Source organism: Homo sapiens, chromosome 11, assembly GCF_000001405.40.
Source record: "Homo sapiens chromosome 11, GRCh38.p14 Primary Assembly".
NCBI lineage: Eukaryota > Metazoa > Chordata > Mammalia > Primates > Hominidae > Homo > Homo sapiens.
In genome coordinates, this window is record NC_000011.10 from 129,279,815 (window position 1) to 129,303,333 (window position 23,519).

General features: G+C 41.8%; 3 long non-coding RNA genes and 1 pseudogene across 3 annotated transcripts in view, besides 1 other annotated feature; all 4 read right to left on the reverse strand.

Annotated features, from left to right (window-relative positions):
• The window catches only part of LOC399975 (uncharacterized), a 49,387-nt gene extending 46,037 nt beyond the window's left edge, over positions 1 to 3,350 (reverse strand). Inside the window, exon 1 of the long non-coding RNA NR_145484.1 lies at positions 3,212 to 3,350. This is a non-coding gene — a long non-coding RNA (uncharacterized LOC399975). The remainder of the gene's footprint in view (positions 1 to 3,211) is intronic.
• Positions 3,217 to 3,718: an enhancer, noted in NCBI's record as "NANOG hESC enhancer chr11:129152926-129153427 (GRCh37/hg19 assembly coordinates)". NCBI's record gives its function as "activates a minimal SCP1, AML or CMV promoter by ChIP-STARR-seq in primed H9 embryonic stem cells {active_cell/tissue: H9 hESC(primed)}" and the evidence as "EXISTENCE:reporter gene assay evidence [ECO:0000049][PMID:30033119]".
• Positions 5,146 to 15,344, reverse strand: LOC124902791 (uncharacterized). Its single transcript, XR_007062950.1, has 2 exons — positions 14,904 to 15,344; positions 5,146 to 6,990 (listed from the first exon to the last, which is right to left on the reverse strand). It is a non-coding gene; the product is annotated as an uncharacterized LOC124902791 (long non-coding RNA).
• ZNF123P (zinc finger protein 123, pseudogene) lies at positions 15,389 to 16,801 on the reverse strand (annotated as a pseudogene).
• On the reverse strand, positions 19,855 to 23,092 carry LOC105369571 (uncharacterized). Its single transcript, XR_948174.3, has 3 exons — positions 23,044 to 23,092; positions 22,868 to 22,927; positions 19,855 to 20,057 (listed from the first exon to the last, which is right to left on the reverse strand). It is a non-coding gene; the product is annotated as an uncharacterized LOC105369571 (long non-coding RNA).
• Positions 23,093 to 23,519: the final 427 nt, after the last annotated feature.

Consider the following 23,519-nt stretch of genomic DNA (forward strand, 5'->3'; position numbering starts at 1 on the left):
AGGGAACGCGAAGTGGGTAGAGACGCTGCCTGAGAGGTCCCGACGTAGGCTGTTGCCTCGGCCCCGGCATTGTGCTGCGGTGCAAAAATAAAAAACCGGCCGCCGCCGCAGCAGCAGCAGTAGCACCGGGAAGAGGCATCCTCCGAGACTACGGCAGTGGCTCCTCTCTACTCCCAGCTGACCCCCAGAACACTGTCACCGCGCCGCGGAGGAGAGGGGGCTTTGCCTCAAGTCAGGAAGATCCTCGCCTCTCCATCCCTTGCACATTTGGGTCTAGAATGGACGCGCCCCGGTTATTATTTGGAATCCGGGGGCCTAAAAGTTCCTTCAGTTGGCTTCTTCATTCAGAGTTATGGACCAGAAAATTGAAAGTGGCATGGCAGGGGAGAGAAAGGACAAGAAAGGGTGAAAGAGTGGCCAAACTGAAGGTGCGTGGCTAGACTGAAAAGAGGTTTTGGAGACAAGGGAAGGAGCTCCCTGGGAACCCCCTGCCTGTGGATGGCACTGCCCTTGGTGCTTCCCCTGTTCCTTTTGTTCAGCCCCCAAAGGCGGTGCAGCACTTCCACCTGCAACGACCATCTGTGTCACAGAATACAGGAAAGATATCTTGACATTCTACCGCGTTCTATTTTCATTTTTTTCTTTCAAGCGTGTACCTTTCACTTCTGACTCAGTTTGGTATCTAAATAAATGTTGGGGGTGATTAACCTACAGAATTCACTCTTATTCTCAAGTCTACCGATGCCAAATACTGCATCATCTAATGTCACTGCAGTAATTTGGGTCCACTCAGCATTTAGTCATTTCAGTGGGAGTCACTGAATATAAAACGTGGCCTTGACCGCGATTAGCAGAATGTCAAGGGCATACGTGAAGCAGGATTTCACCACATCCTGGAGAGAAATTAGAGAGTGAACATGCACAATAATCCCACTCTTCCAGCTTCAGTGTAATCAAAGTTGCTTTAAAGAACAAGTACTAGGGAAGGGATGGAATGAGAAGATTTGCCTAGAAGCACAAACTAGGATGGGAAAATTTGAAAGAAGCCAACTTGAAATAAATGCATGGCAGCCCTCTGCTGGAAATAGTCAGGTGCACCTGAGATTCATAAGGGTCTTCATGGATACCTCCTAAGTGCTACAGAAACAGCAAGGTAAAGAACAAAAACTAGAGACCTTCGACTTCAGCATAATAAGGCCATAGTTTAAAACTCTTCTTTCACCAAACTGCAGCAATTCCCTGGGGTTCATCTTTGGGCCACAGAGAGCCATCTCTGCCAGAGAGGGACAGGTATGGATTAGGTAGCTTTTGTTGTTCTAGGGGTTTGTTGAGCATTAAACACAAACATCCTGTGATAGCAAGAGGAAGTCGTGTGGGACAGAAAACCAAGTCACTATGAGAAGCAAGTTTTGCCCAAGGCCCCAGTCTCTTGGCTACTCGATGACAATATGCATTCTTTTCAGAAATCCTTCACATCCCACAGTTTCACCACCGCACCCTGAAAGTCAGCCACAGCAGCTGAATGGATGTTAAATGGTTTATGGTTAAGTGGTGGAGGTACATAATATATAAAAGAGCTAGGATTATGCATACATTGGATGACACAGATATTTTACTTTAGAGCCTCTAAACATTTTGGTAACTTTCTCTCCTTATATGTAGTATATCTAGTTTATAGAAGAGAACAAAGGGATGCCATGTGTGTTTTCCAAAGATTAGAGGTGTTTGAGCAAGTTCAAGGGTGCTGGTGATGCTCCTTAACCTCATTCTGAGCCAGCACTCCCTCTCCTTGGGCCACACTGTCCAAATGTCCTGTGTCCTAGTTATTATTGCCAAACCTGCATATGAACTGGAAGTTGTGATTGCTGGGTAACTCTGCAGCCATCTGCCCTTGGCGTTTCAGATGTTTGTAATCAATTACCTCTGTCCTAATAACACCCTTAATGATTAAATACATAAATCACAAAAAATTGCAACATTCCTTATACAAGAAAAAGTCTGTCCAATGTTAAATAACTGAATGTGTAGCTTATGTATGGTTTGATTCAATATGTACAAGGTGAGGGGTAGGAGGGGAGGGGAAAAAACAAATTCCCCCTCTTGCCGAAGCTATTGGAGACCTCAGGCTGGCCTCCTTTCTCAGTCTTGGCACTGCTGTCTGCCAGGAGGTAGCATCTGGGTTCACTCCTGGCATCTCAGATCTGTTGCATTGCAGTCCCCTCTAGACGCTGAAGCAGCGTCACGGTGCAGACAAGTAGGGCCAGTGACGAGGGCAGCCACACAGAGGACTGCAATACGTACCTAACCTTGAGTTTGAAAGATGGCCTGGGAATTGAGCAAGGGAGAGAGAAGAAGCTTATTTGCATCCCCAAATTGAGAATGCTCAACAGCTGTATTGAGAAAAGTTGCTGAAAGTAGGCCAGGTTTCATAGAGAATTTTAACACAGAATTTTCCCAAAGCGACAATTGACATTGTCTTGCTTATTTATTCTTTCCTGGCCAAAGCGCCAGCTGCATATTGTGTCCCTATTAAAAAGAGATGTCAAAAAAAGATGTGTTGTCTGTCTGTAGCATACTCCTTGCTAATATTGACGCTCGTGAAACAGCCCCTGTAAACATGGAATCCATGCCCACTACCATGGGCAACATTTTAAGGAACACCAGTACTGCTGTTCACTGAGATGTTATTAATCCCTGATGCATTCATTGAAATGATAAACTTTCCATCTTCTCTCCTTTCCCTATCACATTTTCATCATGAACCTCTATCATAGTAATTCAGAACTTTGTGTTATTCTCCTATGAAATTTTTTTTTTCAGTCTTTAAACCTTAACACCAACTCCACCTATTGACATGTCCACTTTTGAATGGGGTCCTTGGCCTCCTCTGTGATTCTATCTGCTGCCTGCCCCAGGGCTCTGACCGTGGGCCCCTCCTGTTCTCTTTCTACACTGCCACCCTAGGCAGCATCCTCCAGCAAGGCTTTAAGTAGCCTCTACTTTTAACCCTGGCCCCTCCCCAGCACTCCACCCTCTTATATCCTGCTGCCTCCAGGCATCTCCATTTGAATATCTCCCACTTAATGTGTCTCAAACAGAACTTTTGATTTCCATATTGTAAACAAAACCCAAAACTGATTCCTCCAAGTCTGCCTCATCACAGGACAAAAAATATCTCTTCCTTTCAATCACCACGTTCATTTTAGCCTACCTTCAAATGGTACGGAAGCCAATCGCATCCTTCTCTCTTAACCACGAACACCCATGTCTGCCCTCCCCGTGATCTTTCTCCTGGGTGACTGGGACAGACGAACCATCACCCTGCTTCCACTTTTTCCCCTCCACGGTCTAGCCTCTACACAGCCACCAGAGAATTTATTGTAAAGCATTGGTAAGATAATGTCCTTGTTCTTGCCCAAAACACTCCAGGGCCCTGTGCTTCTAATCACACTGCAATAAAATCCAAAGTCCTTTCCCAGCCTTTCAAGTCCTTTCAGCCCTGACTCACCAGTTCAGTTTTTTACCTTTTGCCATTCACTCTGCCTCAGCCACACCCACCTCCCTCCTGAGGTTTCTCAGACCTGCCAGGAAGACTCCACCTTCCTGGCTTTTAAATTAACCTTCCTACTACTATATAAAATAGTTCTGCCTTCTCTGTCCCCTTACTCTGCTTCTTTTTTTTCTCATAGCACTTATCACTACATGATTATGTTGTGTAATCAATATTTATTATTGGACTCTGTTCCTAAAATGTAAGCACCATGAGGGCCTGGACTTTGTTTATTCACAAATGGGTATGTTTATGCCAAATGAATACATAAATGGTACTATCAGGGTGCAAAGTCTTTATACACACTTCTTACCTGCTGTTGTGTATTGCCATGGATCTATCTTTATACTTAGTACAAGTGGAAACAATTGCAAAGTGTAACATTATGTAATTTAAATTTCCTGTACTTTCAGCTCTGACCTCTCCCCAGCCCTCCAGCCTCATATATTCCACAATAAAATTATATCATTTGCAGTGCACTGCAAGTCAAATCAAGACAAACTATACTGAAAATCTAAGAAAATATCAAGATTCAGCAGAGAAAGGTACATATTACATGAGGAATTTAGTGCCCGTAGGACAAAATCACAGTCTAACCTTGCAATTAGGTTTTAATATGTAGAAATTAAAGGCACAGAAAAAGCCAAATTATATGAATTGGCTTCTCAATCCAAACTGAAATAATCACCATGGTGAGAAAGAACATAAATTTTAGGAGGACAAGTTTCCCTTTCATTTTTTATCTTATCTCACTATGTAGTCTTGGACAAGGCAATTAACATCTGTTTTCCCATCTGTAAAATGGGCTTGCCCGCTGTCCTCTTTAGTTGGGTATCATAAAGATAGAATGACTTAATTATTATAAAAATGTTTTAGAAGAAAGGAATTTTGCAAGTGAACAGTGATTATTATTACTTTCCAAACTTCTTTGTGTAATATTTTGAAAATGAGGAAGAAATAATATATTTTTTCAATGTGTCTAAAGACTGAAGTGAATCAGCATTTCTAAATCATGCAGCACTTCCAAAATTATCAGAAAAAACTTTTGGAAGTCGCGAAGCAACCTGTAGAGTCACCCAAGTATATCACCTACCATGGGAGGCTCTATATACTGAAGCATTAGGAGGAACAACACGTAATCCATTTTATAGTCAGAGTGCACTATGATCAGGAAGTGAAAGGAATAGCACGGAAATGCAAGCATTTGTGTAAAGTATTAATTCCACTTCTTATCAAACAATATAATGTGGAGATCCTTGAAAGAATGAATGAACAAAGAGGCAACTATAACATTTCTATATATGACATGCTTCAGGGCAGCAAAATGTTTGGAAGGAGAAAGAGATCTAGGGGACTTTTTGAAGCTCTGTCTCCAGCAAGCATGCTGCTTTATTTAGAGCGTATGTTTAATTGAGGTGACTTGGAGGAAGCTAAATCTCCCATTGGTGGCTGTGACAGTGGTGAGAAGTTGCTATTACTCATAAGCGCGCACACACACACACACACACACACACACACACACACTTTACTGTAAACACATTGAATGCTCCACTCCTCCCTCCAAGCTTGGCCTGAATCAGCACTCTACTCAGTGATGCTCCCAACCCCAAAGGCTTTTATTAGATCTAAAGAACTGAAACCAGTGTTGAGGAAATGCATGGGAAAGTGACTTGGGAAAGCTAGAGATCAAAGAGAGGTCACTCAACTCCAGGGTGGCTGCTTTCCCAGGGTGCTCCCAGCAATTCCCCTCCCACGATTTTGTCTTTTATGGCTTCCAGTTTCCAGAACTTAATGCATCTCAGAAGGTCTAAAACATCTGTGTTTTTCTGCTATATTCAAAATACTTGTTGGCGGAGGATTTACCGATGTCTCTGACACTGCATGCAGTGATGTGATGTTTCCTGGGCAACTTAAGAACTGTAGTAGGTAATCCTATAAGGCATTTTATTATTTTTTAAAATCACTTGTACTTGGCTTGGGAAGTTATCTTGTATTTAACTTTAAGCATAGATGATCCCTGGATATACTGAGGGCTAGGGGACATAATGTGTCAGACAAAATAATAAAACTACCCTATCCAAATATTATTCTCCTGTTCCCTACTTAATTTTTTCTCTTATGTATTTCATGCTGAAAACAAACAGCATTACTCCTCAGAGTGATATAAAAGGCCAGTCTCAGGCAGAGCTGATAACAGACTCAAACTGACTCGTTGACTCCTGCTTTCCCCAGTCATGGTCTGATTTTAAAAGTACTTATCTGTAGTTCTTGATTGATTTAAAAAAAAAAAAAAGCAGCAACTCCCTTACTCATGGTAACAGAATGCTCTGTTAAAGAATACTACAACAGTGATAGGTTGGGTCAAATAGTTGAGAAAATTATAATTTAGGCAATGCAGAGTTTTCTGTGCACCTTTCAAAAGAAAACTTAGTGCTTTATCAAATATGAGGCACTATTAATTTTGAGAGAAATTCAGGCACAGAGAGATTCAAAACCTATCTAAAATTCAGTCTATGCTTTATGATAATAAAAGAGAGATATCTCTTTTTTGTAAATATGTGTTGATGGCCAGGTCACACAAAACAAGACGATACTTTTTTAGAGATGGGGGTCTCACTGTGTTGCCCAGTCTCATCTCAAATGCCTGGGTTCAAGCGATCATAGCTTGGATTACAGGTAGGTACCACGGAAGCCAAGGCAAGAGGATCACTTGAGGTCAGGAGTTTGAGACCAGCCTGGGCAACATAGCAAGACCCCATCTCTAAAATATATAAATAAATACAATTTAAAATATTTTTAACGTTATCCGTGCATTTCTGTGCATCACAGGAGAAAGTCCACCAGAAGAGTGCAATCCTTCTCCACTCTCTTTCGTCCCCTTTACTACTGGAGGGGAGAAGACAAAGGGTCCTTACATTTACATTTCCACCACCGCCTCTAGTTACCATACCTGGGGCAGTTGGCTGTAACTCTTTCCATGCCCACAAGAACACAGCATTAAAAACAAAACCACATTCAAGTACAGTGACTCCAGCTAAGCTGTGGCGTGTTGATTAGCCAAACCATTGGCATTTCACATGCCCAGTCCTTGCTGTTCTTTGATGGGCAAGTAACCCCGAAGAAGAGAGCAATTTTTCCATCGTCACCCATTTTATAATTACTAGCCCTGCTTCTGGGCTGGCTGTCACATCCTACACCTCCCCAAATCCTCTGGTGCAACTTTTTGGGAGAGTTAAAACCTCCTCGATGTCACCTTGGTACTATAATGATGTCCTTTGACAGAAGAAACAAAGTCAACCACCATGTTCTCCCTGAGAAGTTCAGGAAAGTTTGATTCTTCCTTTTCCAAAGGAGAAAAGTATCTTCAAGGAGATGACTAAATCTTACTCAGAAGCATCCTTCTTCATTAAGTTCTCATCTGTATGGTACCATGCTGGAGGCTGGGCAAAGAAAAGCAAATAATGAGACCCTTCCATTTCTCTATGCTTTGGGTTTAAGATCGACAAAACCCACAAAAGCTAATCTCCGAGTATACAGACATCAAACAGCTGTGCAAACATTGGACAGATGCATAAATTAAATACAAAAGTAAATAAAGTATTTACATTATGTACAAGTCATGCAGCTGCTGTTACTACACTCCACGAAGGCTCCAGAGGGAAGGAGGGACATTAAGCTGAGCAGATTGTCTTTTTCGGTCGGGGATGGTGTCAGCAGGAAGGAGCAGAAAGGTCACACATGGCTCGAGGAACAAAGACAAACTGTTACATAAACTCTTGTCTGCTGGTGCACAACCTCTAAACGTAGTCTTCAGAATGAAGCAACTTTGTTTCTCAGAAATAACTTTTATATCTCAGACTATGCTTTTAGGAATCTGTGTCAGTAACTAATTTTAAAGTGTCAGGGATGGCCCCATGGCCAGCAACAGCAGGAACCCAATGAGATGACCTAAGAGATCACAAGAACTGTCCTACCTCAAAGACTACCTTGATATTCTACATGTGTCCAGGGTGGGAGAAATAAAATGAATGGCAGTAGCCCACTGCCATTGGAAACTCTGCCTGGTATCCTGCTGCTGTGGAAATTTCCTCAGTCTTCTCTATGGAGGAACACAGGATGCAGCGCAGCTTTGTTTAGCCTAGATTCCCATACTCTACACCTGGAACATAGGACACATGAATGATTGATGAACTACTAAGCAGCTCATGAATCTCTCCTTACTTTAGGAGATAAAAGGGAGGATAGCCTTTTGTGTTTATGTTAAATTAAAATACCATTTTTATTCAGAGTAGCCTGTATAGTGTTCTATATTTGAGGAAAACAAAAAGATTTAAAAAGAGAGAAAACAACACAAGCCCCTGGTTTAAAAAAATTAGAAATGGCAGTAAAATGGAAAAATTCATAACTACAATTCAGAGGTAATCATTATTAATATTTTGGTACATATCTTCTACATGTCTTCATGTACATGGATATATATAAAAAATTTTAACAGAAACAAGATCATACTGAAAATAATGCATGCAATCTGCTTTTTTCCCCTTAATGCTTTTTAAACTTTTCTTGCCAATAAATATTTCTACATTATTTGTATATAATCATATGTCTATGCCATATTTTTTTAGTCCCCTGTTGTTGGACATTTCTAGTGTCATGATTTTTTTTTTTTTTTCTCTAACTTGTAATGGCTGGTGGAGCAATCTTATCACTAAAGGTGTGTGCACAACACAGACTTCTGAGAGTCAGAATTCTTCCCACACCCACCGGCTGATACTTAGAATTCCATGCCTAGTGCCTCAGTCCTTTGCCTTAAGGATTTTGTTTAGTTAAAAAGTGAGTCCCAGGAGAGCTGTTTCTTAAAACACTATCTGACACTGATTTCCCATTTTTCCTTGGGAAGTCCCGAGGAGAGTCGCAAAGACTGGTTTTATGCTGAGGTCTTGGCCCTGGGCCTTGGCTGATGAAACCAGAAAAGTCCCCAAGTTCACGCATGTTCTGGTAGAACCGTTACAATTTTATAATTGACTAAACTCCTTGAGCAGTTGGGAACACAATTAATGCTGGCTGGTACTAATTATTGCCTAAATTCAGTTTATTATAGGAAATAGGTTCAGTTCTTAGCATATTCCCTCAGGACCTGGTCCACATATTCATTAATTTTTACTCCCAAATACTTTATATTTGTATGGTTTTCTGTAAATATAAATCTATTTACCTTGTAGCCTATCTTTATTACTGCATGTTCATTGAATTAAACTTATTCAGACCTCAATTTTTCATTTCACTTCTAAGCAATATAACTGTGATCAGTCATATCCCAGAATTCAGGACTGGTACTGTAATCCCCACAGAGATGGTATAGTTCTTTTTATCTACAAATCCAGGATTTTCTTTAACCCAACACACATGTCTGTGAGGTGTGTTATCACAGTATAACATACCTGGTTACCCTGTGAAAAGCAGAGCCCAGGAAGAGTGAAGGTTCCTGTTTCTATGCAACCATAGGTATGTACGTGTGTGTGTGTGTGTGTGTGTGTGTGTGTGTGTGACAAAGAGAAGAAGAGAGAGACAGCGAGAGAGAGACACACACACACAGAGAGAGAGAGGGACAGAGAGAGAGAGAGAGAGTATTTATCTGGAGAATAGCTGTACATCTCCAGGGACCCAGGATCAGCAGTGTCAAGGTCTACCAGGTGCTTATGAAGTGCTAATTGCGCTGTTACTGAAGTTCAGTTTCCACCAGAGACTCACAGAGCGACCTTGGGGAAATGATTGAATGCTTCCATTCCTCCAATCTCACACCTGAATACCGGGGATGATAATATTGCCCAACTCCTTCCCTTACAATGGCATAAGAATGAAGTAGCTTACAGTTGGTGTTTTGAGAGTCTGTGGGAGCATTATTACTTCATGCTACCTTTTTTATATGTAACTTTTGTGCACTCAACCATTAAGGAGGGACAACTGTGCCACGGATGTTTCTTTTCTACGCTGCTCTCTTGGGGAGAGTGTCCAACTGCTGAAACTTACGTATGAAAAACGAGAGCAAGAGAGAGACAGAGAATGAGAAATCATAACCTCCCACTCACATATATTTGGCATTTCAAGCTTTGAGCAATTAATAACCAACTCCTTGACTTGGAAGCTGTCATGCTCACAATGCTGTTTGAACTGTTCCCACACAACCCACTGAACACACCTTCCTTCCAGAAAAGGCTGTCGCAGACGCACTTTTCAGCCTTGAAAGACAAAAGAGTAGACTTGAGCAAACACGAAGACTTTCATAAAATGGAGTAAGGACGAAAGTCTCTAACTCCAGAAGACCAGTATTTCTAAGCAAATAGTCCAGTTGTTTCCTGCCATTCTGAATGTTTCTGCCGTTCTGAATATGTCTGCCATTCTGAATGTGTTCATCGGGAATTTGAGTGTGGGTTATCTGGATCCCCTTCCTCTGACATGCAGGACCTTGTTGCACCACTGGGAGTTCCACAGGAAAGGGAATGAACAAGGGAGAGTCTTTAATAGAGAATTGTGAATATGTCTACAGCCATACCACCCTGAACGCACCCGATCTCATCTGATCTCGCTAGCAGGGTCGGTCCTGGTTAGTACTTGGATGGGAGAATTGGGAGTAAGAAGAAAATAACTACAGCCTGCACTTCAAAGAGCAGCAAGGGCCAGCAAAAGGAGCCTGAAGGGACCGAAAAGTTGAGCATAGCTGCGGATAGAAACAGAGCCAGTGGGCAGAGACAAGAAAACCAAGGCAGGAAACTGTGGGGTCAAGAGCAATAGGGAAGCCTGTCCCTATTGTGGGTCCTGGGTAACCCTGGGACACATCGACTGGCTCTTCTTTGCTTATAAGGCAGGGTGTATAGGAAGACTCATTACCTAGCGCTAAGGAAGGACGGGTAAGATGTAAATAAACCACGCTGATTTGCAGCCACTCGGGAGTCTCTGGCAGCTAGGCTGGGAGAATAGCATCAATGTTAACAGCTAGGGATGAAGCAGAGTAAATATTTGATGTAAGATAGCAAACATAATCAATAACGTGTATCAAACATTTTCTGCTCCTTCTAAAGGTTCATGTTAATTATAAATATGACAGTATTTGGAACAATTTCAAGTAGATAGAATCATCCCTGCTTTGCAGCCCAGAGAACTGAAGACAAGGGCTAAATAATTTGCCTAACATTATACAGTAACCAGTAACACTGTGTTTTAAACTCAGGTCTTTGTGCCTTCAGAACCCCAGTTCTCCTCAAACTTGAGAGAATTAGGCACACACGTTGCTCCTCTTTCTCAGATATTCTGATTTAGTAGTTCCAGTGTGGAGCCCGGGGGTCTGCACTTTAACACGCATCCCTAGTGGTGTCGACATAGGTGCCCTAAGCCAGACATTCCAAAACACCATCCTCCACCAAAGGCCAGAAACAGCCAGCTAGGAAACAAGGGCAGAAATAAAATTGTAGGAAAAAGTGTAGAAGAACTTTCACCCTTAAAATCGTAGACCTGATACCCTATGGTAGTCCTGATAGTCTACTTATTTTTTTTCTCAAAATACGTGTTTCCAAAAGTTAACTCATTTGGTACCTAGAAAAATCAGGCTTCCTTGGCAGCTTAGGTCCTGTGGATCCTACTCCTTGTTGAACGCTGGGTTAGGACTACAGACAGATGTCTCCGAAACATCTTAGGACTGTACTTTAAAAAGCACTCAGGACAGGAACATGAGGAGAGATCATTTCTCAGATGTGACAGTCCCATTTCACTGGCTCTAACCAGAGTAGAACGAGAGGAAGGACTTGTCTTTCCAGCTATTCCCCAAAACGACTTTTAAACAAAGGGACCCGTTCTCACAATTACCCACCAAACAAAGTGCTTTGATAAAAATCACTACTAGGTTTCCCAACTGGGTGTCATTATCATGCATTAACCCGGCATTTCTCTTCCTTTGGTTAAACTCTTGAATTCCTGTATCAAGCTTGAGGGAGAGAAATCGGTCTTGCTCAAGATGTGTTTTCCCATCTCCCAGGGTCCCACCTTTAGGGCCAATAACTTTCTTTCTACCTAGATTTTCTTAAAGATGTTGAGAGATAGGATTCCAGTAAAACTACAGGAGCTGGCCGTAATTAGTTTCTTTGCAACGTTCATTTCTCCAAATGAGAGCAAAGGGGCCATTTGAATAACTCATTATCTACATTAGCTAGACATGTTCTTGTTGATGTCTTCTTAAACTTTCCTAAGTCTTCTCTAGCCTTTCTTTGCTGCACTTCCACTCCAGTTTGTCTGTAAGCGCCTTTGTGGCCTCCACTGCAGGCCTCGGGCCAAGGGAAAAACGGATTCTTTTCATCTATTCAAGTGTGATCTGGGACAGACAAGCCTGCTCCACAGGCGAGAGGCACAGAAGAGTGCTCTGTATTCAGCTCGCAGCTCCACATAGTCTGTAGTGGGGGCCCTGCCCTTGGCAAGGCCAAAGCAATGACCAGGGCCATTTGGCAGGAACAGGAATGCTGTTTGGCCCCTTCTCTTCACCTGGACAGGGTGCCCTGTCCTGCAGGAATTGTATATCCTATTCCAACTCACTTCCTCTAAGTTCACTTCCAACATTAAAAATCACCTCCTTTTATCTCTCAATCAAAGCAGCATTTTTTTTTTTTTTGAGATGCCGGGTAAATTCAGAGCACATTACGGTTGCTACATATGGAGATGGTTAATACAATAATAACTAATGAAACTTCCTTCCTGTCTCCAATACATAGGGGACTCAAGGCTGGAGATATTGGCAGGAGAAAGGAACTAGGTGAAAATAGAGATGGAGCTAGTAAAGATACCTTTCTCTTGTGTCTAAGTTGCTAAAAATATGCTTTTCCTCCAGTGCCTTTTAAACATTTTACCTCACAATAAGCCTGATAATGTTAAGCAACAGCGCCCACCATTCCATTACTCAACACCGTTCTGAAGGTGCTTCATGAGAAGATAAAGGAGCTACAAATATTGGTGAAGGAGCAGCAAAATTATCATTATTTGATTATAACATTATTATAATCAAATATGGAAATGCTTTAATAAATCTATTAAAAATAACCTAACAATACAGTAAGAAGTTAGGTTATACACACCAAAAAACTTTCTTATATTCCAAAAAATAACCAGTTGGAAAATAAAAACTGAAACAACTCCTATTAACAACAACCAAAAGGTAAGTTACCCAAGAATGTGTATTATTTAAATGAAGGAAACTATAGAACTCTGAGGAGAGGGAAAAACAGACAAGGTGCTGAATAGTTAATGTCAGTATTGTAAAGATGTCAGTTCTCCCCAGTGAAGCTATAAATGGAATGAATTCCAATCAAAATCCCAGTAAGATATTTTTAGGAAAAACATAATCTATTAACAGATAATTTTCAGAAAGGTAACATCCTGACTACCCAGCAAATATTAAGCTCATGTCAAAACTTTTATTCAACTCATTAGTTAATGAGGAAACCAGTAAGGTATTAAGACTGATTCTGAGAGTGTTTGAACAATTCATTTCTTATAAGCAATCTAACAAAGAAATGTTAGGATAAGATTGCCAAATTTGATTTAAAAAAACAAACAAACTGGTTATTGCCCAATAGACCATAACTCTTTGAGGTGATCTGTTTCAAATGACAGAAATTATCTGCATCTCTACCGGACAGAAATCTGCAACTTAGCAGGTAACTTCCGTACAATTTAGCAAGCACTTCACTTAGCAGGTAATTAGTCTGGGACCTTTAATCAATAGTAAACAATGAACTAAGTACATTTCCCTACAATCCTAAGGTGGCCTTTGTTCCCATATGACATTAAAAGGATGTGCTGCTTGCGCTCAACTTATTTCTAGAATTTGAATTTTTCTAAAAATTCTAAATTTCATTGAAAAAAATCAACTTGAGAGTCACTAGGTAATTTTTGAAAAACAACAGCAAACACAAAGGAAGAACAATTTGCTTTACTTATTAAAACAAGGCTGGTAATAAAAGGAGGAGGATGACAGTCTTACCTTCTCGAAATTATTGAAAGTCTGGCATCCGTTTTCAGCAGCCATCCCTGCTTTGAAACTTGGGCAATGGATATTTGCCCGTGCATAGCACGCTCTCATTCTCTCCCTCTCTCTCTCTCTCTCTCTCTGTTACTTAGAACTGCTGCCATCAAGAAAGCTGGCTCTCCTCTCTACCCCTTCCTCTACACCCAGTCCCACCATTTCCAATCTAGCTATCACTAAAGCCCTAATAGGTAACACTTTGGTTTATTACATATAGCCTCTGTTCAAAGCACTTCTACGTGCATCAATACATTAAATACTCAACACAAACCTATGAGGTAGATTAATTGTCATCCCCACTTTACAGATAAGGAAATTAGAACACAGAGTTGCTATAACTTAAGCAAGGTCACGCACCTGGGTTCAAACCAAAGTCATCCTTGCTGTGTATTATTATTATTATTATACTAACCACTACCCTCTGCTTCCTGCAATGGGCAAAATCAGGCTGCCTGCAAAAGTGGCAGATGGGCAAAAGAGTACATTCACATCTTCCCTCATTTCCGCAGGTAACAGAAAATAATGGCAGGTTCTTCCCTGTTCATAAAAAATAACTAGATGAAGTTGCAAGAAAATGTTTCCTGCCTTGAGGTCACTTGGAAGAGCGGTGAGATAAATTTAAGACAGGCTGGGCCTGGTGGCTCATGCCTGTAATCCCAGCAGCACTTTGGGGGACTGAAGCGGGTGGGTCGCTTGAATCCAGGAGTTTGAGACCAGCCTTGGCAACATGGTGAAACCCCATCTCCACAAAGAAATACAAAAATTAGCGGGGCATGGTGGCATGTGCCTGTGGTCCCAGCTGCTCGAGAGGCTGAGGTGAGAGGATCTCTTGAGCCTGGGAGATGGAGGCTGCAGTGAGCTATGATTGCACCACTGCACTCCAGCCTGGGCAACAGAGTGACACCGTGTCTCAAAAAAAAAAAAAAAAAAAAAATTAAGACAAATAGGGCCTTGCATCTAATTCAAAGGATATGTACACCCTGAATTTTACAAAGGCACAGACTGCGATTGAGTAGCACAGAGTAAGAAGGGTGGGTGGACACCGTGCCCCGGGTAGATCTCTGAAAGTTTCACCCTATTAAGGGTGTCCTGCAAGATGCATACAGCTCCACATGGACAGAACCCCTCTGTTTTTGCACTTAGGAGACTTCTGATATACAGACTGAAATAGGGTGTCCACATATCTGTCTTTTTATTTCCCGGTTTATCCCTTACTTAGTGTTGCTCTCTGAGAAAGGATGCATGAGCCTAACTAATGCGTCTGAAATGCCTTTATTCTATACTTACCCTTGAAGGCATAGAATTCTGGGTGGAAATCATTTTCCTTAGAACTTTGAAGGCATACACCATTGTCACCTAATTCTCAAGGTTGCTGTTGAGAAATCTAAAGCCATGCTCATTTCTGATCTTTTGTTTCCTTTCTCTAGAAACTTTTTAGGATTTCTTCTTTAAGCTTGGTGTTTTCATAAATCACGGTGTTGTTCTTTAATGTAGGTTTCCCCCAATCCATCTTGCTGGGCATTCGGTGTATTCTTGAATCTGGAAACTTACATTCCTCTTATGTTTGAAAGTTCTGGAGTTTGTTTTTTATTTCTTTTCTAACTGTGAAGAGAGTTCATGTTGGGGAGGCAAGGGCTCAGAGAATTTGAGGAACGTTTCATGATGGAAGCCAAGAGTCTGAATTAAATATATGACTGGACAGGTGGAGAAGTGGGCATTCCAGATATGCAGAGCTGTGGGGACAGAGGCATATGGTTAAGAATCAACACAGTCCAGGAGAGACAGTGGGGACACTTAAAAATCATGCAACAGGGAGAAACAAAGAGGGGTGTAGTGAGCCTGATAGTGGCTAGCCCTATGCTTAAATGGGTGCCTTTTGAGTGTGTGGCTTCTGATGCATAACGAAGTTTCCACACCAGCTGAGGGGCTCCCACACCTTCTACACTCATAAGGTTTCTCACCAGTGTGAACTCCCTCGTGCTGAATCAGGGTTATTTTCTGATCGAATGCCTTCTTGCAACCCTTACATGCAAAGGGCTTCTCTCCAGTGTGAATTCAGTGATGCTGAGTCAAGGCCGTGCTTAATAGATTCCCACACTCTTTACATTCATAGGGTTTCTTCCAAGTGTGCATTGCTGATGGACAATGAAGCTTGAGCTACAACTAGAAGTTTTCCAATGTTTGTTACACTCACAGAGTTTCTCCCCAGTGTGGAACCTCTGGTGCTAAAGGAAGACTGAGCTATTGCCAAAGGCCTTGCCACCCTCCTTACGTTCAGAGGGCGATTCTCCAGCGTGGATTCTCTGATGCTGAATCAAGGCTGCATCTGAATTTAAACCTTTCCCGCATTCTTTCCATTTAAATGGTTTATTTCTAGTGTGCATTATCTGATGCCAAACAAGTAATGTGCTGCATCTGAAGTCATCCACATTCTTTGCATTCAAAACTTTTCATCACCGTGACCTCTCTGATGTCAGTGGAAGTCTGCCATTTGACTGAAATACCTGTCACATTTTCCACATTCATAAGCTATCTGACCGGTAGGAGTTGTCTGATTCGTAGAGTTGTGTGCTGACGCTAACATTTTTTCCTAATTTCTCACACTTTCCCCTCTCTCATCAGCACAGGCCTCCTGATGCCTGGTGGACCCATCTGTGAAATCTCCCCTCTTTGACTTTATCTTGACCATCCAGTGACCTTGGGGCTGCTCTAGGCTGCTCCCAAAATCTAGGTGCTGGGGAGTATTCTCTGGCAGCCCTCCCAGTGTCAGTCGGAGGGATTCTGTTTCTTTGGACCTATGCTCCTTTGGAATTAGTCCTTCCTTCTCATTTATGGTTTCACTCTGAGATTCTCAGAGATAGGGGTTCCATGGGAGTTCCCCTTTCTCTAGCTAGGAGACCAGAACAGGATAGCTGAATGAAAAAGTCAGGGAAGCCACCCCTGCATAACGCTCCAGCATCACCTCTCTGTATAGGGCCCTCTGCACAGGGTCCTGGCTGGCCCTTTCAATCTGGTGAGGTATGCAAGTGCTTCCTCAAAGGTCACTGGCTCCTAGGCAGAGTGGTCTAGAGTATGGCTGGCATCCCCACCTCACACTCTCCTTTGGAGTTGGGAGAAGTAAGACCGGACCCTGAGTCCATTTCATGGCATCCACTGACCCCATGCGGCACAGACACAAGGAAAGCCCACTGAGGCCCTAATAATGCTTATGCTTTGGCTCCCGTTTAACCCAGTTCTTTGTCTTTATCATTGGCCAGAGCGCTGGAGGTGGGGAGGAGTGAGGGACATTTCTTACAGTCATCATGTTTGTAGCAGTCCTTCTCATCCAAATTAGACTGCTATTTTGAGGATTATTTTGGCATTTTTGGTGAAGTCTTTTCTTCAATTTAGAGACCCGTAGCAAATACCTATTTTCCCTTGCTTCTAGGAGCAAACTCATACCCATCATTCATACACAAAGTTGCAACATCTTTTTTTTTTTCCTCTTCACTTTCTCAATAGCTTTTGACCAAATGATATCCTGGAAGAAAACTGAACTGAAAGAATCAGGAGATCTGAGATTTCACCCAGAATCTGCCAATAATGAGAAAACCCTGATCTCATTTGTGCAAATTAGGATGATTTGCCTTTTCAGATTCCTTTCTGCCCTGGTTCTGTGAGTACTGTTCTCCAGTCACATGTCCACCGATGCCCTGAGCACCGCTAAGGAAGGCACATGATGTTCTCAAAAGCTCTTTTTCCTCCCAGCCCTCCTGCACTTGTTTAATATGGGCAGTGTCCCTGTTGGGAGCTACGTTAGGGATGCCAGTGACTCTCCCCTCCCCAGGGTTCTTGCAAATAGAATAAAAATCAAAATGCAGTCTGAATGGGGGTCAAAGCTCTCTAGTGATAGCTACACAAAGAATTTACCTCATTCTTATTTGGACCAGGGTTGGTTTCTGATTGACCCAGAATCCAAGTCTAACTATTTCCTTACCAAATTAGTCTCTTCTAAAAGAGAATCCTCACATTGCTATTTAGCAGTCTTTCTTCGTGGTATACCACTTCATCATTCAGAAGTCTTAACATTCTTGATAACAATGTGTAGTTATAATACACAAAGGTATTGGCTAATTTTCTCTAGCAATTTCAAATCAGAGATTTCCTCTTGGTCATTTTGTATCTTCTTCAGGTAAAAAAACAAAAACAAAAACTGTATCTCTACCTTGCCCAAATCTCTGTGAGAAGTAAAAGAAAATAATCATTCCAATGTTTTGCTATGAGGCTGACACCATTCAGATGACTGGCTGAAATTTTCACTTTTTTTTTTTTTTTTTTTTTTTTTTGTGAGACAGTCTTGCTCTTCCGCCCAGGCTGGAGTGCAGTGGCGCGATCTCGGTTCACTGCAACCTCCGCCTCCTGGTTTCAAGTGATTCTTGCGCCTCAGCCTCCTGAGTAGCTGGGATTACAGGCATGAGCCACTATGCCCGGCCAGGTTCTCTTTTCAACCAAGTGTTTTGTGTGAGTTAGAGAGGGCTGGAGTTCTTCCATTTAGAATTGACCATCTAAGCAGCACTCCTGCTGTGGCAGGAAAGAGGCTGAAGAGCAACTTGAAAGGTACATGTATCTTGAAGTTTTGAACAGAAATATTAAATATTCAGCCTATCTGTCCTGCAGTCCCTACCTGATTTAGAAAGCAAATTAATACCACCAGATTGACTAGGAGTAAATATCTCATCTGAAGAAATATTATAGTGTGGCCATGGTAATACAATACTTATTTGTAGCAACTAAAATATGTATCCTCTGGTATCCTCTTTGAGTGCTATGGATTGTTCCTAAAAAACCCCAAAAGTATTTTCAAATATTTTAGGTGATAAAAGTTTAGGGCTATGTTTGACTCCACATATTTTAATTCATGTTTGTGGATTTTTAAAATAAACTATTGGTTTCTTTTAACAATTAGTTTTCCTTATAAATATTTTTCATCAAGCATAAAAATTGTTTTACTATTTTAAAAAATAACAGCATACCACATAGTGGTCATTGTATGAAAATGGGCAATACTAAATGGGGGTTACATTAAGTATGCAAAGGAGGAGTCCTAGCATGACGTCTACCCTATACTTCTTGCAGATTCAGACCTGTCTGGGTATGTTTGAATGACCAGCCAAGCAGGTACCCAGAGGTCTAGCTGGCTAAGGCATTGAGAAGCTTACTTTAAATAAAGAGACCTAGAAATGCTGAAGCGGGGCCAGGTGCGGTGGCTCACACCTGTAATCCCAGCACTTTGGGAGGCTGAGGAGGGTGGATCACCTGAGGGCAGGAGTTCAAGACCAGCCTGGCCAACATGGTGAAACCCTGTCTCTAATAAAAATACAAAAAAATTAGCCCAGTGTGGTGGCTCATGCCTGTAATCTCAGCTACTCGGGATGCTGAGGCAGGAGAATTGCTTGAACCCGGGAGGTGGAGGTTGCAGTGAGCCAAGACCGCGCCACTGCACTCCCCACTGCACTCCATCCTGGTCAACAAGAGTGGAACTCCATCTCAAAAAAAAAAAATGCTGAAGCAGGTGACCAGCCCTGTTCTGACACCCCTGTATCATTGGAGTTCTTTTAAGTGCCAAGAACAGAATATCCTTAGAAGTGGTGTAAACAATAGGCAGATGTTCAAAGGCAGTTGGCATCTGGGGCTGGGGATGTGACAGGGAGGTCTGCCAGGCATCCAAGTGCTTCCCATTGATGTCTTGCCATCCTGTCCATGCCACTGACCACAGATGACTCAGCATTTCTAGGCATCATTTCCAGTGAAGAAGAAAGGACATTTGTTTCCACGTATCCCAGTTGCCTTCCGTTATGGTCTCTTTGGACCAGATTAAGTCACATGTCTATACCCTCACCATAAAGGAAACTAGGAAAGTAAGCATGTGGCACTTAATGTCTTTCTCATTAAAGGAAGTCTCCACTAGTAAGAAAGAAAGTCTGTTACAAACCTCTAACCAGGGGTGATATCCCATATCAGCCATAGAAAGTTGGTAAGATGGAAGAGAAGCAGAGCTCACAAGCTTGATAAATGAGCACCACAGGTCTGACCTGCAGAACTACTGGGCTCTCCTTAAGGATGAACAGATGGTTTCCCTATCAGGCTGCCTTTGAACCACTGCAAGATTCTTTGGGAGTACAGGTTTGTCAAAAGCAAACAAATAACAATCGGGATTTGAGTTTGACTGCATGCAGTAAATAACATGCAAACACAGTGGTTGAACCAATTAGAGGGTTTACTCTTTTTATATTACAAAGCACCTAGACAATATCCATGGTGGTTATGGTAGCTCTATTATGTCATCAGGGACTCAGACTCCTTTTATTTTTCTGTTCAGCATTCTTAGAGTATGTGGTCTCCGTCTTGTGATAGCAGCATGGCACCTGTTCCACCTCTATCCTCAGCCATCATGACCACATTCTAAGCAGAAAGAAAAAGGAAGGATAAGGGCATCGGTGGGTGCCAACTGAGTTGTTTCACTTTAGAGAACATTCTTGACCAGGCTGGACAACATAGTGAGACTTCATCTTTACTAAAAAACAAACAAAAAAAATTAGCCAGGCATGGTGTACATGCCTGTATTCCAGCTACTTGGGAGGCTGAGTGGGAGGATCGTTTGAGGCCAGGAATTCCAGGCTACAGTGAGCCATGATCGTGCACTCCAGCCTGGGTGACAGAGTGAGACCCTGTCTCAAAAAGAAAAAGCAAAAGAAAAATAGCATTCTAGAAAGTCTTACACCATATCTGTGGCTTTTATTTTAATGGCAACAACTGTCACATAGACTTCCATCTGCCAAACAGACTGGGAAAGGTGGTTTTATGGCTAGACCCATGCCATCCTGGATAACGTCAAAGTTCTGACTGTAAGAAAGAAGAAAGTAAATTTTGGTAAAGCAATTAGTCATTTCCTTTGCAATGTAGGGTTTTTATGTGGAAAACAGAGAATGCAAAATAGTATAGTGTAACAGTGGTGGGTAAGAGTATTTCCCTGAATTCATTTAATTTTGGTGGCTCAATTATGGGAAAGAGACGAAAAAAGAAGATCAGTGTCTTCTAGGAACCTTGTTGTTCAGGTAATGAGCAGGTGGTTGTTGAAAGGTCAATGAGGACAGCACCTTCTGGGAACAGGCTACAGCTCTGCAGAGAGTGCCACAGATGCTCCTGGGATCCACCTCATATTTTTACCTCCACAAACTCGAAGTCAATAAAGATATATATAACCAGTGAGAGAGAGAGTTTGTAAGACTGCCTGGTTATGTATTTTGCAGATGTAATGCTTGTTATGTATTTCTACTATTGGTGAAATCTTTCTTATAATCCTATAGAAGATTGACTCAAGGTGGTAGGTAAGACTACCTGGTGCATGTATCTGATTTTCCCACAAGAACTTGGGGAGTGTAAGTCAGATGTAGGCTGTGGTCCAAAACTAGTGACCTCCTGGAAGAATGAGGCTAACCAAACACTATACATCTTATTTGCCCAATTTCTCTTTTTTGGAAACAACATGGAATATAATAGAGTTAAACTGAATAAAAATAAAACCCCCAAATGTGATATATGTAGTCAAAATTAGGAGAGACAAGTGTAGGCTGGAGTAATTAGAGAGGGATTCATGGAGGAACTGGTTCTTAAGTTGTACCTCACAAAATAGGAGGAATTTGGATACTTAGAAAGGAGTTGGAGAAAATTCTATTGAGGTGCGTAGAAAACTCTGATGAGGCCAGGTGCATTGGCTTATGACTCTAACCCCAGAACTTTGGGAGGCAGATCACTTGAGGTCAGGGGTTTGAGACCCACCTGGCCAACAGGGCGAAACCCCCATCTCTACTAAAAATAAAAAAATTAGCTGGGCATGGCGGTGCATGCCTGTAGTCCCAGCTACTCGGGAGGTTGAGGCAGGAGAATTGCTTGAACCCAGGAGGTGGAGGTCGCAGTGAGCTGAGATAGTGCCACTGCACTCCAACCTGGGTGACAGAGCAAGGCTCTGTTAAAAAAAAAAAAAGAAAAGGAAGGAAGGAAGGAAGGAAGGAGGGAGGGAGGGAAGGAAAAAAGAACGCTGTTGAAAAGGAAGGAAGTGGTTCAGGGAGAAAGTTCAGAGTAATTTCCTGTAGCAGGTTCTGGAACAATTTGAAAGGAATAAGGAACACAGGACAGGAGAGGAGAATGGGAGAGGGAAATTATTGAGGAGGGGGCCAGGAAAGTCACAGCTCACCTAACTCCTTCCTACCTTTCTTTTGTTAAGATTTCCAGTTAATTGCTCCACTATACAAAGACTTAAGAAAATCAGTAAATCAGCTCAAATAAAACTTTGGTGAATAATATCAAGAATGTGACATGGATTGTTGGTGGGAGTGTAAACAGGTACAACCACTTGGAAAGCCATCTGGCAGTACTTAATGAAGTGAATGTACATATGTGCTATGACATCAATCCCACATATATAGATAGGAGATATACAACATATATTACATAGAGTAATAATCATATATATGTATATGAAATTATCCTGGTGTCCACAGCAAGGGAAACATTTAAATAAAATATCAGGCATGCATACTATGGAATAATACTCTGCAATTCAAAGCATTGAACTAGATACACATTTAGTGACCTGGATGGGCATTAACATCATAGTTTTGAGTTTCAGAAGCAAGAAAGAGAATGAGATGTAAACACAATGTCATTTATGTAAATTAAAAACACATACATATTGAATTCTGTATTTATATGGATCATTTGCAAGAATTCATAAGGGAAGAGAATGAGAGCAGAGATTGGGGATGAAGGAAGAAATCAATCTGTCAGTCAAGAGAGGAACCCCCCATACATTGATTATGATGCGTGTGCTATGAATTCACATCTCTCTACCTAAGTTTGCCTCCAGCCCTCCTCCCACAAAATAAACCTTTAAGGGAAAAACATTCTTAGATCTCCAAATATTTTTAAATGTGTGAGCAGCACTAGAACATGTAATTCTCTCATGCATAAAATGGGGATAATAATAAGAGTCTTACAAGGCTGTCAAGAAAATTAAAAGAAATCATATATTAGATACCCAAGTGGAGACATACCCAGATGCAAGGTGGTTGACTAGGCTCCCTAGCTGGTGAGGTGACTCACTGTGAACTTTCTGCCACTCTCACAGTGTTTGTGTTCAATCCCTGCCTCAGCAAAATGATAAATCATTACATCAGGGACTTTCAAAGTCAAGCAAATAGTCAAAAACATACGCAGTAGGTTAAATCCTCAAATGCAAGAGTATACAGTCCTGCTCCCTGTTGACTTCAGCCCTACGGAGAAAATAATACCTCTGTTGATTTCAGCTTAGAGAAGCTTATTACCAGCAATATTATTCCCTACAGTCAGTGTTAGCCCAACTCAATGCCCCTTTCTGAACAGTACTCACCAGAGAAGACAGTCCAGCCAACTCAGTGATTACCAAGCAGCATGCGCTGGGTGGTGAAGGCTAAAGTAGCCAACTGACACCGTAGGGAGGAGAGAACTGGCCAAAGTATAATGACCTAAACTGGCATTTGGTCAGATCATGGGGATTTTCTGGCCCTTTGCTCAAACGCCTGGCACTGCACGCTTAGGTCTTTTGGAAACAATGTCATGCAATAGCATAACCTGAAAGAGTAATTTAGAGCAGTTTATTGGAGGTGATGCATTGTTAGTAGCCATATTTACAAAGAATACTGGCCTGAGAAATATTACAGTGTCCACTCTTAGATACCTCTTTGTGGCTAAGGACACAATCTTACTAAAATTGAAATAAGGTGTTACCAAAATACTCTTTGCTACCAAACTGGTGTATATGCAGGAGGAAAGCAGTTTACCTTTCCACCTTATGAAGAAACTTTTTGGATATCTTGTCTATCATCA